Source organism: Homo sapiens, chromosome 3 (assembly GCF_000001405.40).
Source record: "Homo sapiens chromosome 3, GRCh38.p14 Primary Assembly".
NCBI classification, from domain to species: Eukaryota; Metazoa; Chordata; class Mammalia; order Primates; family Hominidae; genus Homo; species Homo sapiens.
Window position 1 is genome coordinate 86,076,218 of NC_000003.12, and position 16,318 is coordinate 86,092,535.

At 37.8% G+C, this 16,318-nt stretch overlaps 1 annotated feature.

Moving 5' to 3' along the window:
- Positions 6,986–7,486: an enhancer, noted in NCBI's record as "H3K27ac hESC enhancer chr3:86132353-86132853 (GRCh37/hg19 assembly coordinates)". NCBI's record gives its function as "activates a minimal SCP1, AML or CMV promoter by ChIP-STARR-seq in naive H9 embryonic stem cells {active_cell/tissue: H9 hESC(naive)}" and the evidence as "EXISTENCE:reporter gene assay evidence [ECO:0000049][PMID:30033119]".

Genomic DNA, 16,318 nt, shown 5'->3' on the forward strand with positions numbered 1-16,318 from the left:
AAAATTCCTAAGGTAAGGTTTGTATATTTGGCAATTTTGCCAAAGAACAGAACACATTCCAATATCCTGCCAGAGAATCAGACAAGCTTTAGGGAATGTATTCTCAGATAGTTAACAAGTCCACAAATTCTGGTGTCTCCGTGACAGGAGGATTTAGGATCTAATGACTCCAATTGTTTTTTACTATATAGTCTACCAATTACATATTTATTTGCTTAAAAAAGTAACTTTTCAAAACTAGATTTGTTTCCAGGAAAATATAAACCCATCAACCTTGTACCTCTTGCTATGAATTATTCACTCACCAGCTTCAGACTATTTTCTGCTCCTAAGCAAAGAATAAGATATGTATTGCCTCATATGACCCTGAAGTTCCTTCTATGGCCTGTAGGAACCATACAAGTTATTGGCATTTAAAATCATATTTTGATTACTGGTTTTTCTGCTAATCTGGTAGAATCATAAAATAATTTGACATAAACACAGTACTTTGCTTAGAATTTGGGGCATATTTTAAGTCTAACATGAACCCTAGGCTAAGAAATTATCACCATGGCATTGTACCAAAAATCATGTTTCCCATTTCTAGAAACACTCCTCATTCATGTTTGTCCTTCTTTCACCAACCCTTCTTTCACCTACTTGTGGTCTTGGTGTTAAGATGTTGGAGTATTCCCACCGTGTGATTCTCTGCTTCTCCCAAATACCTTTTGTCTTCCCAGAGATATAAACAAAATACCATGCTTCCAATAAAAGACAATTTTGAATAAATCTTTTAAACTATCACAACATTTTACAAAAAAGAAAATTCAGGCCAAAGGTCACATGGTTATTTAGAGAAAGACACATATTTAAGATATAAAACTAACCACTGAAGTAAATTGTCCTTCTATTATGTAATTTTGTGTCACTGGGAATATAGTTGGATTCTTCCTCTTTAATATTATTCTTAGAGCATTATTAGCATCTGTCAGTGGCATAATCTTTATTGCAGGGATCTTAGAGTCACCATTGTCAAAATTTGTAAGATTCTGAGCTTCTCTTAGTGTTCTCAGAAGTGAATGATTGAAATAAAATTGAGATATAAATTCTATTTAGTGAGTTATCTGACAGGAGGTAGGAACTGAACTAGAAATTTATTTTTTTAATGAGGGTGTGTAGAAGAGAAAGAGACAGTTTGGAAACAAGGTAATTTATTGAGGTAGAACTGAAAAACTTTCCACTAAAGCACTCTTTGGATGCTCAAGGGAAGTGTAAGGATGTTAGGGAGTACATGGTAAAAATAAGCACATTTTCCCAATTTATTGTACAAATTGATCTGGAGCTTTGGAGGTGAAGCCACTGAAATGCCACTAGGAATAATCTTGTAGCATGCTACTGTTGGTGGTCAAACCCATTACTAGCAAACTGAAGGAATAATCACATTTTGGCAAATGTATAAACTTGAATGAGTCAGAGTTTTTCAAATGTGTAAAAATGAAATCATTTAAATCCAAATTTGTATAGCTCATGGCTGGCTTATATTGATGATCTTAGGCAGTCCTGTTTCTTACATAGAATGACTTGTTAGTTGAGTTGAGGCTGTAATCTTACACTTACCATGATGCCTGACTTAATGGGTAAATAACCAGTGGAGTGACACAGGACCCTGAACTCTGAGTGGGACCTCATACCTGGGGCTTAATGCTCTCCAGTGGCCATCTTGAAGTGCTTAAAAATTTTATCTTTGAGTTGGTTTTGTAAGCAAAGTCTGATAGGACAACAGAGCATGTGCTGAAGGCATCTGCTTATGTTAGTTTCTTTACATATACCAATATATAGTTTCTTTCAGATATACCTATATATGTATATATGTGTGGTTCTGCCTCACACCAATTTGCCACCCAGAATAGGTTCTTAGTGACCATCTTCTCCATTCATACCCGAAGACCACTGTAGCCCAAAGCACTCAGCAGAGGTATAGGGAAATTGAGATCAGGATGTGCTTGCCCCAAGTGTGGATTTGCGGGGCATGCCTGTGATGGTCTGTACAAACTGAGTATCCCTGTGCCCAGGAGAGTTCAACATTAAATAGCGTATATTTACCATGCAAGAAAGAAAATAAATACCATACTACAAAATGTTTTTTTCTGATCTTTGAACAAAGAGTGTCACACTACATTTGGCACTGGGCCTACCTAGGAAATTATGCAGTTGGCCCTGCTTGCCATTGGAACAATGTAACAGCAATTTATTGTTTTCAAAATCTTTAGACTAACAATTGAATATCTTAGATGCTTTAATTTAATTGGCATAGAGTAGCATATGGAATTGTAGTTTATTCCCTTTTTTTAGCTAAACATGTTGCAAATCTTTCCTTTTATTATTTCAGAAGAGACACACAAGTTACATTATGGTTCAAGATCCTAAGTCCAAAGTTACTAAGGAAATTAACATGCTCATTTTCTCTATGTTCCAACCTCTGTGAACAATAGAACAACTACAGAAATGAAAGATGTAACATTCCTTTGAAAAAATCCAAACAACATACATTTAAAAAAATGTCCAACTACTGTTTTATGTACCTCAGAAAAGGGACTCTGCTAATCATTTCAGTTCATTCCTTAAGGACATCAGTTTAATGTATTACAGTGTGGGGGTGGGGGGTGCTGAGGTGAAGTCAACAATATAGCGTAAAATGAATAGAGTAATAAATTTACAAACAAACAGTAAAAAGTGATTTATTTGCTCTTTATGATTAAATTGAGAAGCAAGTGGAAATTTATTTTGATTCCATTTCATAGTCTTTGTGTTCTTATGAGATTCTCAGCAATGAATAATTGAAACTATTATCACTGATTTTGTTGAAATGCAAATAGAATTTCACTAATTCCCACCATCAAAACACTTCAATACTTCTCACTACTGATTGAATTATATATACACATGAATATGTCAAATTTAATCCTGCCTTTCAATCCAATTTATACATATAATTTCCTTTACTTTCACCCTAGCATCTAGTTTTCTTAAAAATCATGCATTCTGCAAATCCTTCATGTTTCTTCACTTATTTCTTCATTCATTCAAGAATTTATATTTGCTAGATATCAAGCCAGTCCTGTGATCTGGAGGTACAATATTGAGTAAATAGAACACTACCCTTCTTTTATAGAATATATACTCTAGGGAAGGAAACAGATGTTAGCCAAATATTCTCAAAAGTTAATACATAATTACCAGTTCTAATTAATGCGATGGACATGTATAAAATACTGTAAAGGATGCAAATAAAAAGCCTCCCTTGTGGGTGTGGCACAGTCTGAGGAGGAAGTGCTTGAATTGATATTAGAATAAATGAGTAGGTGTTAACCAGGTGAACACAGGCGGAAAATACAATCAACACAGAGGAAGCAAGAAATGTTAGGGGCTGAGGCTTGTTCTGAAAAACAGAGAGGATGCCAGAGCAGAACTACTTCGTCTTTTATCTTATATATCTATCTCATGTCATGATTTCTTACATAATCAGCATTAAATATTTATTCACTGAAAACTATAAGCAATGCCCTGTATTGTGGAATATGAGTAAACTATGTAAAAGCAACTATTGACAGGGTCCGCTCATAAAAACAGAAATCACTCTGAGTTTTTTTAAGTGTCAGTTATCTAGGTGAGAAAGCAAACATGGGTAGTTTACCAGAGATTACCAACATTAGAAAACTGCTATCACTCTCTGGCTGGAAAGAGGAAGAGCCCAGAAGCTGTCAGAGCTTGTTCGCTTAGCATACCTAGTGTCTAGTACTGAGTTTAACTTTCATGTATATGTGTGTGCATGTATGTGTGTGTGTGTATATAAACATATATACATAAACATGTATATACACGTATACATAAACATGTATATACACGTATACATAAACATGTATATACACATGTACATAAACATGTATATACACATACATAAACGTATATACATATATACATAAACATGTATATACACATATATGAACATGTATATACATATATAGATATTTATATACATATATACACATAAACATGTATATGTTAGTTTTTTTTACATATACCTATATATGTATATATAAAAACTCTCATGGTAACAAAGAGGAGAAAGCAGAAGGGAAAGGTGTATTCATTTAACTTAATACACATTTACAGGGCAGCAACTTATTGCTACACTCAGTACTTGATACTGGATATGTCAAGTGAACAAAATCCAGTTTCTGCTTTCAGGATGCTAATGAAAGAGAAAATGTAAACAAGCAACCCCGGTTTACATTACTAAGGTGTGTATTCGGGTTAAGTTTAGTATGAAATGATAATCACACAGCATCTTGAGAAAACAGGGTAATGTGACATCTAGACAGAGAACAAGAGGATGAGTAGGAGTTCTCCAGGCAAAGAGAGGATTAAGAAGTGGGGGAACATTCCAGGTAGATCCCACAGCATATTCAAGGACAGGGATAAAGCATAAAGAAGATCATGGAGATCTGGAGTTACCGTTTTCACTAAGAGTGCACTGATTACAAGAAGGATGAAGAGATGAATTCAGAACAGTAAGCAGTGGCTGGATCATGCATTCTTCTCTAAGTCCTATTAAGAATTTTACACTTTGCCCTTAGAAAAATGTGTCACCGAAGTATTTCAAGGGTTAGGAGCAGCAAGGACAATTAGTATCACTGTTTTTCCTTTAATGACAGGGCCCTCCACATCTGCGGAGGAATTTCAAGATTTCAGAAGTAAAAGTATTTGAGTTCTCTACAATTTTGTTGCTTTTACCCTAAGCCAAAGCTAACTCCACCCAAAACACAGATGGAGAAATGTCCCCTTATCAAATTCTGTTTGCCTACTACTCATCAAGATAATTTTATCTTCAGAATATTAGTTTATTTTCTTCAACCACTTATATTTACATAAGTCAATTTTAGCCCCTTTTTGACAAAAACCAAAACCCTTTACAGAATTATCTTTGCTTAAGTCTGAGAGCATACTTATTAATCCTCAGTATTACTCTATTCTTTGTTGAAATTGTTAAAAATTCCATAAAGTGCTAATGTATTTTTATTGAATAGAATATGGTAGAGTATAGGAATGTAGCATAAACCGAGATTTCCATTTAAAAGCAGAGATTCTGAATTCCTAAAAATTTAGAAGATGTTCAATAAATATTTGTTGAAGGGATGAATTGTCCTTTCAAACTATTTTTTTTATTTCTTAAGGAAGGTGCATTAATTCATTAATTTAACAGGTGTTTATGTTGTGCTACCTATATGTCAGAAATGCTTTTAGCACGGATATAATTGTAAATAAAAAAGGAAAATAAACTTTGATTTCATGGTATTCTTTTACTGGAGACGAGATGAATAAAGATAAAGTAAAAATATCTATGTTATCAGATTACAATAAAATTACAGAAAAAATAAAACGGAAAAGTTTGCAGAAGTGTAGGGATTCAGTTTTTAATAGGTGGGTATTAAGGGCTTTACTGAGAAGATAATATTTTGACAAAGACCCAAAGGAGGAGAAAGAGTGAAGTGTGTGGTGTTCTGGGGAGAGATTATTTCAAGCTGAGGGAGCAGCAATGCAAAAACCTCAAAAGTAGGAGTATCCCAGTATGCATGAAGAAAATCAATGAGTTACTTGGGAGAAGAATGAAGAGGAAACGGAAATAAGAACCGACGAGTAATGGAATGAGAGAGGGAATACTTTTTAGGATCTTTCAGGTTATTTTCAATACTATGACTTTTTTATAAGTCAAATTAAAATCAGAATATTTTGAGCAGATGAAGGGTATGCTCTAACATGTTTTAACAGAATCACTCTAGATTCAGTAGTAAGAATAGACTGTGAACAGGGAAAAATGGAAGCAAGGACACTGATGAAAAGATTTTTACAATCATTCTGCCCAAACATGATGTTGATTTACCGAAGTAATAAAAGAAGAGATAGTGTATTAGTCGATTTTGAGTTTCCATAGGAGTACCTGAGGCTGGGTAATTTTAATACAAAGAAAAGAAGTTTATTTTTGTATTTTTAACTCATTGTCCTGTAAACTATATGAAGCATAGTGATGGCATCCACTTCTAGTGAGGGCTTCAGGAAGCTTCTCACTTATTGTGAGACTTATTCAGTATCACAAGAATAGTACAGGAAAGACTAGCCCACATGATTCAAATACCTCCCCCGGGTCCCTCCCACAACACGTGGGAATTCTGGGAGATACAATGCAAGTTGAGATTTGGATGGGGACACAGCCAAACCATATAATTCCACCTCTGGCTCCTCCAAATCTCTCATCCTCACATTTCAAAACCAATCATGCCTTCCCAATGGTCTCCCAAAGCCTTAACTCATTTCAGCATTAACCCAAAAATACAAAGTCCAAAGTTTCACCTGAGACAATACAAATCCTTTCTGCCTATGGGCCTGTAAAATCAAAAGCAAGCTAGTTACTTTCTATATACAATGGAGGTACAAGTATTGGGTAAATACAGCCACTCCAAATTGGAGAAATTGCCAAAACAAAGGGGTTGCAGGGCCTATGCAAGTCCAAAATCCAGTTGGACAGTCAAATTTTAAAGCTCCATAATTATTTCCTTCGACTCCAGGTCTCACATCTGGGTCATGCTGATGTAACGGGTGGATTCCCATGGTCTTGGGCAGCTCTGCCCCTGTGGCTTTGCAGGGTACAACCTCCCTCCTGGCTGCTTTCAAGATGTGGTGTTGAGTGTCTGTGGCTTTTCCAGGCTCACGGTGCAAGCTCTGAGTGGATCTACTATTCTCGGTTCTGAGGACGGTGGCCCTCCACTAGACAGTGCCTCAGTAAGGACTCCCTGTGGGGGCTCTGACCCCACATTTCCCTTCTGCACTACCCTAGCAGAGGTTCTCCATGAAGGACTCACCCCTGCAGCAAACTTTTGGCTGGACATCCATGTGTTTCCATCTATCTTCTGAAATCTAGGTGTAGGTTCCCAAACCTCAGTTCTTGACTTCCGTGCACCCACATGCTCAATACCACGTGAAAGTTGCCGAGGCTTGGGGCTTCCACTCTCTAAAGCCACAGCCCAAGCTGTACATTGGCCTCTTTCAGCCACGACTGGAGCAGCTGGGACACAGGGCACCAAGTCCCTCGGCTGCACACAACAGAGGGACTCAGCGCCTGGTCCACGAAACCCTTTTTTTCCTGGGCCTTGGGGCCTGTGATGGGAGGGGCTGCTGTGAATGTCTCTGACATGGCCTGGATATGTTGTGCTCTTGGTCTTGGGGATTAACAACAGGCTCCTTGCTACTTATGCAAATTTCTGCAGCCGGCTTGAATTTCTCCCCAGAAAATGGGTTTTTCTTTTCTATTGCATAGTCAGGATGTAAATTTTTCAAACTTTTGTGCTCTGCTCTCCTTATAAAACTGAATGCTTTTAACAGTACTTAAGTCATCTTCTGATTGCTTGGCTGCTTAGACATTTCTTCCGCCAGATCATCTTCTGCTAAATCATGTTTCTCAAGTTCAAAGTTCCACAAATCTCTAGGGTAGGGGAAAAATGCTCTCAGTCTCTTTGATAAAACGTAACAAGAGTCACCTTTGCTCCAGTTCCCAACAAGTTCCTCATCTCTATCTGAGATCAACTCAGCCTGGACTTTATTGTCCATATCACTGTCAGCATTTCGGGAAAAGGTATTCAACAAGTCTGAAGGAAGTTCCAAACTTTCCCACATTTTTCTGTCTTCTTCTGAGCCCTTCAAACTGTTTCAAACTCTGCCTGTTACCCAGTTCCCAAGTTGCTTCTACATTTTCACGTATTTTTTCAGCAGTGTCCCACTCTCCTGGTACCAATTTACTGTATTAGTCCATTTCCATGCTGCTAATAAAGACAAACCTGAGACTGGAGAGAAAAAGAAGTTTAATTGCACTTACACTTACAGATGTCTGGGGAGGCCTCAGAATCATTGCAGGAGGCAAGAGGCACTTCTTACATGGCAGCAAGAAAAGAAAATGAGGAGGAAGCAAAAGTAGAAACCCCTGATAAACCCAGCAGATCTTTTGAGACTTGCTCACAATCACAAGAATAGCACGGGAAAGACCAGCCCACTTGATTCAATTACCTCCCCCTGGGTCCCTCCCACAACATGTGGGAATTCTGGGAGATACTATTCAAGTTGGGATTTGGGTGGGGACACAGCCAAACCATATCAATTTATAATATCATCTTTATTCATAATAGTTAACAATGGGATATAACTCAAATGTTCAACTGATAAATGCTTGAAAAAATATATAATGCTTATATATTATATATAAGCAATATATAATATATACAATGCTTAAAAGTATTATTTATATATTTATATATCCATACAATCAAAACTACTCAATAATAACTCAATTGAAAAAAGGAATGAACTACTGGTACAGAGAAAAAATATAGATAGGTGGGTATCAGCCAATTTATGTTAAGTATAAGAAGCAGAACTATATGATACCCATTTTATTATTTTATTTATGTGCATTTCTAAAAGAGAGAAAAACCACAAACAGAACACCGGTCACTGCTTTCTCAGGGATGAGGTTGAGGAGAGGAATCACTAAAAGTGGCAGAGGGGAACTTTTGGGGGTTATATACATGGTCTGTATTACAAGTATTCTTATAGTTACATAACAAAATGCATTTGTCAGTACTCATACATTGCACATATAAAATTGATGAACTTTATTATGATGTAAGTTACATCTCAATGAAGCTGGGTAAAAATATCAGTGATAGGATAGATTATATGATTAATTGTGCTGAGATGATTTTTGTCCATGCGGAAAAATGCAACTTTTTTACATCACTCCATATACAGAAAATAAATCTGGGGTGGATTAAAGAGGAGGGGATAATCCTACTGGGAAGACAAAACCAGAAACTTCTTCTATAACGTTTTATCGAACAGGTTGAAGAGCTGAAAGAGTGAAAGTGAGAGAGAAAGAGAGGAAATAAAAGCTCTGAAGAAAATATGATGACTATATTATCAACACCTTGAGAGCCAATCCGATAGGTATATATTATAGAATCTTTTGGTCTTTTTGTACCTAAAAATAATAAAACATAAATAAATAAAACATTTATTATCAAAGGATAATTGTTAAGGGATAATCAATAATTATGGAATGTTATGCTAGTATAAGTAACTATACATTTGTGCAAATTTCTGAGAAAAAGTAGACTTACTGGGACAGATTGGATTTTTCAGCAATGACAACAGCAGTATTTTCAGTCAAATAATGCATTTCCTTTTGGAGAGAAATGAGATCTATATTTTCTCCTTTTGAATTTGGGAAGGGGCTTGTGACTGCTCCAAAGCACAGAATATGAACAAACCTACACTGTGTGAATTTCAAGGCTGAGTCATATCAAATTCCTCTTGGTACTCTCTCTATCTCCTGGAAAACATGCTTTAGAGTCTGGGGATTCATTTAACAATGCCTTCTACCTTGAAGCTGCTATGCTGGGAAACCCAAGTAGAAATAAAGAGAGATGCCCAAGAACTCCTAGCCATTCCAGTGTCCAGACAAGTCTTCTCCATCCAGGTACTAGCATGTGAGTAAATGAGATTTCAGATGATTCTGGACCACTGGCCTCAAGCTGCCCTGGGTGACAGAGTAGAGCAGAAACAAGCTAGCCCTCTCAGGCACCAGCCCAGACAACAGATTTGTGCACAAAACGTGTTTTATACCACTAAGTTTTGGAGTTTTCTATACAGCACTAGATATCTAGGACATATGTCTGAAAATAGAAGGTAGATAGAAAATTGAAAAGGGATAAACAATCTGTCAAGTGAAACAGAATAAGCTTAGTTTTGACACCAGATTCATACAACAGTGGACATTTCACGTCTGTATCTTTAGACAATGTGTAGAACGCTGAAAAGGCACCTGGAAAAGAGGTCTGGAGGAGTTTTAAATTTTGAAGACATAGCTCAAAAATTATTTCTCTCATGGAGGCATATATGCTGCACCTTTGTGTTTTCAAGGCTCTGATCACTCACTCTTGACTAAGTTCCAGGTCATTAGGACAGAGAATCAAACAGAAGTCATAGAGGTTTTTCTTTCCATTTAAAAAATTCTATTTTCTATCATCATCTACTTACTCTCCCAAGTGCATGTCAGTAACATTAATTCTTAATTGTTCTAGGTAAATTTTATTTAGTCTCTGTAACCTCAGAGTAATTATAGTGATGAAATTTAAATTGCTACTTGGCGCAACAGCATTCCTTTTGTTTTTTTCTCTTTTTCTGCTACCAAAATAGAAGTTGTTTAAAACAACATTTGTAAAAAACTTAATTTGGAAAATGTAATTCAACAAGTAATTGCTGAAGACCTGCTAGAACAGAAGCTATCCTGCAAACATTCATGAGAAATAAAAAGATGCTTTCCCTATAGACATAAATATCTTGTAGAGAAGGTAAGACACTTCAACATAAAAAATGGCATTCTTTAAATACATAAATTATGGAAAATTATATGGTAAATGGCACAATAACATAAAAATTCAAAATGATAATATTTGGCTGTTGAGTAAATGGAAGAGGATTTTCCATGATATCAGGCTATATATATTGACACTTTGTTGATCGACCAAAATGATATTTTAGATTAAAATAAACAGCCTGGACACATGCATAAACTTGAAGAAGCACAGAGTATAACTGGAGACACAATGTAATTTAATTTACTTAGATAAATACATGCATTGCAAGGTAAGAATATTGGATTTTATCTTTTAACAAAATTGCTTTTGATAGTTTGAGGATAGATTTGGTATGGTAAAACATTATATTTTAGAAAATTATACTTTTATATTAAGTATAAATCAATCCAAAATTTGGAATATAAATTCAGCAGTAATGTATGTATTTTTATGAATATAGGTAGTATGTGATATCCTTTGGTTTAAGATGGTGGGCAATCATCTTGTCATTTCTTAACTGGAACCAGTAACAATAAAAACAACAATAAGTAGAAATAACAATAAAAAAAACACTTAAGAAAACAAACTTTATTTTAGCCAGAATAGGGAGGCACCTATACTTCCAACCTCAATAGGTGAACAGATAGATGAGTTGAAAGAGTATAGCAGACTTTGGCCAGATGCAATAAGGAACTAGATTTTCTAAACTATATGCCACAGACCAAAAAGTAAAACCAACTTATTTTGAACAAGCAGATCAGAGTATAAAAGCTGGTTGTAGTAACCTCTTGAACTTTGATTGACAATAGTTCTGTTAAAGCAGAAGCTGGAAATTATGCAGACATTCCATCACAGCAAAAGCTACCCTGTCGTGTGACAGGTTAGAGGAGAAACTTTGGATTGCAAACAGCCTTGCTGCTGCCAATATTTGTCAGCTGAAGTTAAGTAAAGTAACTTAATTATATCACACACACACAGACAACACATACGCGCACACACACACACACGCTCACGCACATACACACACACACACACACACACATATCCTCACCCTGGGGAGTGGTTTTGCCTTTCTAAACATATATTTACTTTGTTCCTTGTAATGATACTCTGCTTTTTGTTTTGTTTTGTTTTCTGTCTTTGTTTTTCATTTATATTCTCTATTTCCCAGGTAAAAGTGATTACCTCTTTGTTTCATAGGTAAGAACGAGAGTCTGGTTCCCCCAACCCCTATCTCCTATGCATAGTTATTTGTTTAGGAATGAAACTGTCACCCAACACAACGAGTAAGACTGAATTTCAGAGATTTTGGAAGTAAAAGCTAATAAGTGAAATATTTTCCCTTTCTTTTCTTTCCTCTTTTTTAAAATTTGTGAGATTGAATTTTTGTGATTTCCACATATCAGATATTCAACTTCTGACTCTTAATAAAACAAGACTTATTTTTCTCTTGTAACCACTATAACAAGGAAGAAAGCAAGGCCAGAGCAGACACAGCCATTAAAAGACACAGGAACCCAGGTATTCATTCTCTGTTTTCCTGTTATGCAGTCATGCCCACAAAATGGCTGCTCCCCTGCTGGCAAAAACAGGTTGAAGGTTAAGGAGCTATGGCACTGGCCCGCTCAATATTTCAGTTATTTTGGAAAAATAATATTGTATTAGTCTGTTTTTATGCTGCTAATAAAGACATACCTGAGACTGGGTAATTTATAAAGAAAAGGAGATTTAATGGACTCAGTTACACGTAGTTGAAGAGGCCTCACAGGTATAACAGAAAGTGAAGGAGAAGCTAAGTCACATCTTATGTGGTGGCAGGCAAGAGACCATGTGTAGGGGAACTCCCCTTCATAAAACCTTTGAATCTCATGAGACTTATTCAATATCACTAGAACAGCATGATAAAGGCCAACCCCCAGGATTCAATTACCTCCCACCAGGTCATACCCATGACATGTAGGGATTATGGGAACTACAATTTAAGATGAGATTTGGGTGGGGAAACAGCCTAACCATATTATTCCTCCCCTGCCCCCTCCTAAATCTCATATCCTCACATTTCAAAACCAATCACGCCTTCCTGACAGTCCCTCAAAGTCTTAACTCATTTCAACATTGACTCAAAAGCCCACAGTCCATGTCTCATCTGAGGCAGGGCCAGTCACTTCTGCCTATGAGCCTGTAAAATCAAAAGCAAGTTCGTTACTTTCTAGACACAATAGGGGTACAGGCGTTTGGTAAATACACCCCTTCCAAATGGGAGAAATTGGTCAAAACAAAAGGGCTAAAGGCCTCATGCAAGTCCAAAATCCAGCAGGGCAGTCATATCTGAAAGCTCCAAAATGATCTCCTTTGACTCCATGTCTTACATCCAGGTCACGCTGATGCAGTAGTTGGGCTCCCATGGTCTTGGCCAGCTCTGCTCCTGTGGCTTTGCAGGGTAAAGCTCTTTCCCTGGCTGCTTTCATGTGCTGGTGTTAAGTGTCTACAGCTTTTCCAGGCACACAGTGCAAGCTGTCAGTGGATATACTATTCTGGGGTCTGGAAGACAGTGGTCCTCTTCACACAGCTTTACTAGGCAGTGCCTCCAGACTCTGTGTGGGGGCTCCCACTGCACAGTTCCCTTCTGCACTGCCCTAGCAGAGGTTCTCCATGAGGGTTCTGCCCCTGCAGCACACCTCTACCTGAACATCCAAGCATTTCCATACACCCTTTGAAATCTAGGTGGAGGTTTCCAAACCTCAATTCTTGACTTCAGTGCACCCACAGGCCCAATACCACATGTAAGCCACCAAGGCTTGAGGCTTGCACCCTCTGAAACTATGGCCTGAGCTGTAACTTGGCTTCTTTTAGCCACAGCTGGAGCACCTGGAACACAGGGCACTGAGTCCCTAGGCTGCACAGACCAGAGGGGCCCTGGGCCCAGCCCATGAAACCATTTTTTCCTCCTAGGCTTCCAGGCCCATGATGGGAAGGGCTGATGTGAAGGTCTTTGACATGTCCTGGAGATATTTTCCCCATTGTTTTGGTGATTAACATTTGGCTCCTCATTACTTGTTCAAATTTCTGCACCCTCTTGAATTTGTTCTCAGAAAATGAGTTTTTCTTTTCTATTGCATTGTCAGGCTGCAAATTTTTTGAACTTTTATATTCTGTTTCCCTTTCAAACATAAGTTCCAATTCTAAAATGTGTCTTTGTGAAAACATAAAACTGAATGCTTTTGACAGTGCCCAAGTCACCTCTTGAATGCTTTGCTGCTTAGAAATTTCTTCTGCCAGATACCCTAAATTATCTCTCTCCAGCTCAAAGTTCCATAAATCTCTAGGGTAGGGGAAAAATGTCATCAGTCTCTTTGCTAAAACACAGCAAGAGTCACCTTTTATTCCAGTTCCCACCAAGTTACTTATCCCCATCTGAGACCACCTCAACCTGGACTTCATTGTCCATATCACTATCAGCATTTTGGTTAAAAACATTCAACAAGTCTCCAGGAAGTTCCAAATTTTCCCACATCTTTCTATTCTCTTCTGAGTCCTCCAAACTGTTCCAATCTCTGCTTGTCACCCAGCTCCAAAGTCACTTCCACATTTTCAGGTATCTTTGCAGCAGAACCCCACTCCCTGGCACTAATTTACTGAATGGTTCGTTTTCACACTGATAATAAAGACATACCCAAGAGTGGATAATTTATAAAGAAAAAGAGGTTTAATGGACTCACAGTTCCACATGTTTGTGGGGAGGCCTCACAATCATGGCAGAAGGTGAAGGAGGAGCTAAGTCACATCTTACATAGTGGCAGGCAAGAGACCATGTGCAGGGGAACTGTCCTTTATAAAAACATCAGATCTCGTGAAATTTATTTACTATCACTAGAACAGCATGGGAAAGACCCATCCCCAGGATTACCTCCCACCAGGCCCCTCCCATAACAGGTGAGAATTATGAGAGCTACAATTCGAGATGAGATTTGGGTGGGGACACAGCCAAACCATATCAAGTATCATTCCTGGATCACATCCATCAGATAACTTTTTTACTTTATTTCAAGAACTGGCTGATATTTTCACCCATCCCTTATGGCACATGGCAGTCCTAAATCAAACCTTCTTCTGTTAGGAAAGAAGATGAAGAAAAACAGATATTAGATAGTTAACTAGCATTGTCTGCCAAATTTAATGAGAGGAATATAAAAGTCTAGAGCAACCCAAAATGGAAAGCACACAGAGGCAAACAGGGCCAAGGTTCCTCCAACTTCAAACAAGTTCTGATGATATTGTGTAAAATTCTGGCTCCTGTGTGATGGTGAGATCTATCCTGAAATTTTTGGAATATAGATAAAAATAATTCAGATAAGCCCTCAACCTAGTCTGAATGTGTGTGTGTGTATGTGTGTGTGTGTGTGTGTGTGTGATATGTTTCCACTCAAATATCATCTTGAATTGTAATATCCATAATCCCCATGTGTTGAGGGAGGGTGCTGGTGGGTGATTGGAACATGGGAGCAGGTTCCCCCATGCTGTTCTGGTGATAGTGAGTGAGTTCTCATGAGATATGATGGTTTTATAAATGTCTGGCATTTCCCCTGCTTGCACTTCTCTCTCCTGCTGCCACATGAATGCCCTTGCTGGCCAGGCGCAGTGGTTCACGCCTGTAATCCCAGCACTGTGGGAGGCCAAGGCAGGAGGATCACGAGGTCAGGAGATCAAGACCATCCTGACAAACACGGTGAAACCCTATCTCAATAAAAATATAACAAATTTGCTGGGCATGGTGGCGAGTGCCTATAGTCCCAGCTACTTGAGAGGCTGAGGCAGGAGAATGGTGTGAACCCAAGAGGTGGAGCTTGCACTGAGCTGAGATTGTGCCACTGCACTCCAGCCTGAGCGACAGAGCAAGACTCCATCTCAAAAAAAAAAAAAAAAGAAGAAGTCCTTGCTTCGCCTCCTACCATGATTGTAAGTTTCCTGAGGCTTCCCCAGCCATGTGGAACCATGAGTCAGCTAAATCTCTTTTATTTATAAATTACCTGGTCTTGGTCAGTTCTCTGTAGCCGTGTGAGAATAAACTAAAACAGTGTGTGTGTCTTTTTGCAAATGAAAAGGCCTAAAAACCAGAGGTGGACCCGCTTTGACACTTCTGGCTACCTGAGAGTGGCATCATACTATAGGGGAGATGCTCATGAGAAAACGACAACAGATTAAAATTTAAATTGCCTATTCCTTAATCTGTTCATTACCATAACTCATTATTCTACTTTCTTCTTTAAACTACACACCAAACTTTGGCAACAAGCTTACCTAGGAAAAGTTTTCAGGTTTAAATAAAAAAACACAAAGCAAAATATAATGGGCCCTAGTCAAATACATTGAAAATGTGAAAATGGGCTTAGCACATGAAAGATATTTTGCAAACCATACTGGAAACCTCCTAAAGAGATTATAGCATAAAATAAGTGAAATATGTAGTTAAGTGAATTGTAGTTAAGTGAAATTTGTAGTTTGTATTATATCAAATAAATGGAAAACAAATTATCTCTAAGAACTAATGTAGCAGGACAAGCCACAGACAAAACCTCTCAGACACTGAGTTGTAGAAGGAAGGGCTTTATTCAGTTGGGAGCATCAGCAAGCTACTGCCTTAAAATCCAAGCTCTCCAAGTGCAAAATTTATGTCCCTTTTAAGGGCTCACAACACTAAAGATTTCACATGAAAGGGTCGTGATTGATTTGAGCAAGCAAGGGGTACGTGACAGGGGCTGCATGCACCAGTGGTCAGAGAGAAACAGTACAGGGTGGGAGTTTCACAATGTTCTTCTATACAATGTCTGAAATCTATGAATAACATCGGTTTCTAAGTCATGAGTTGATTTTTA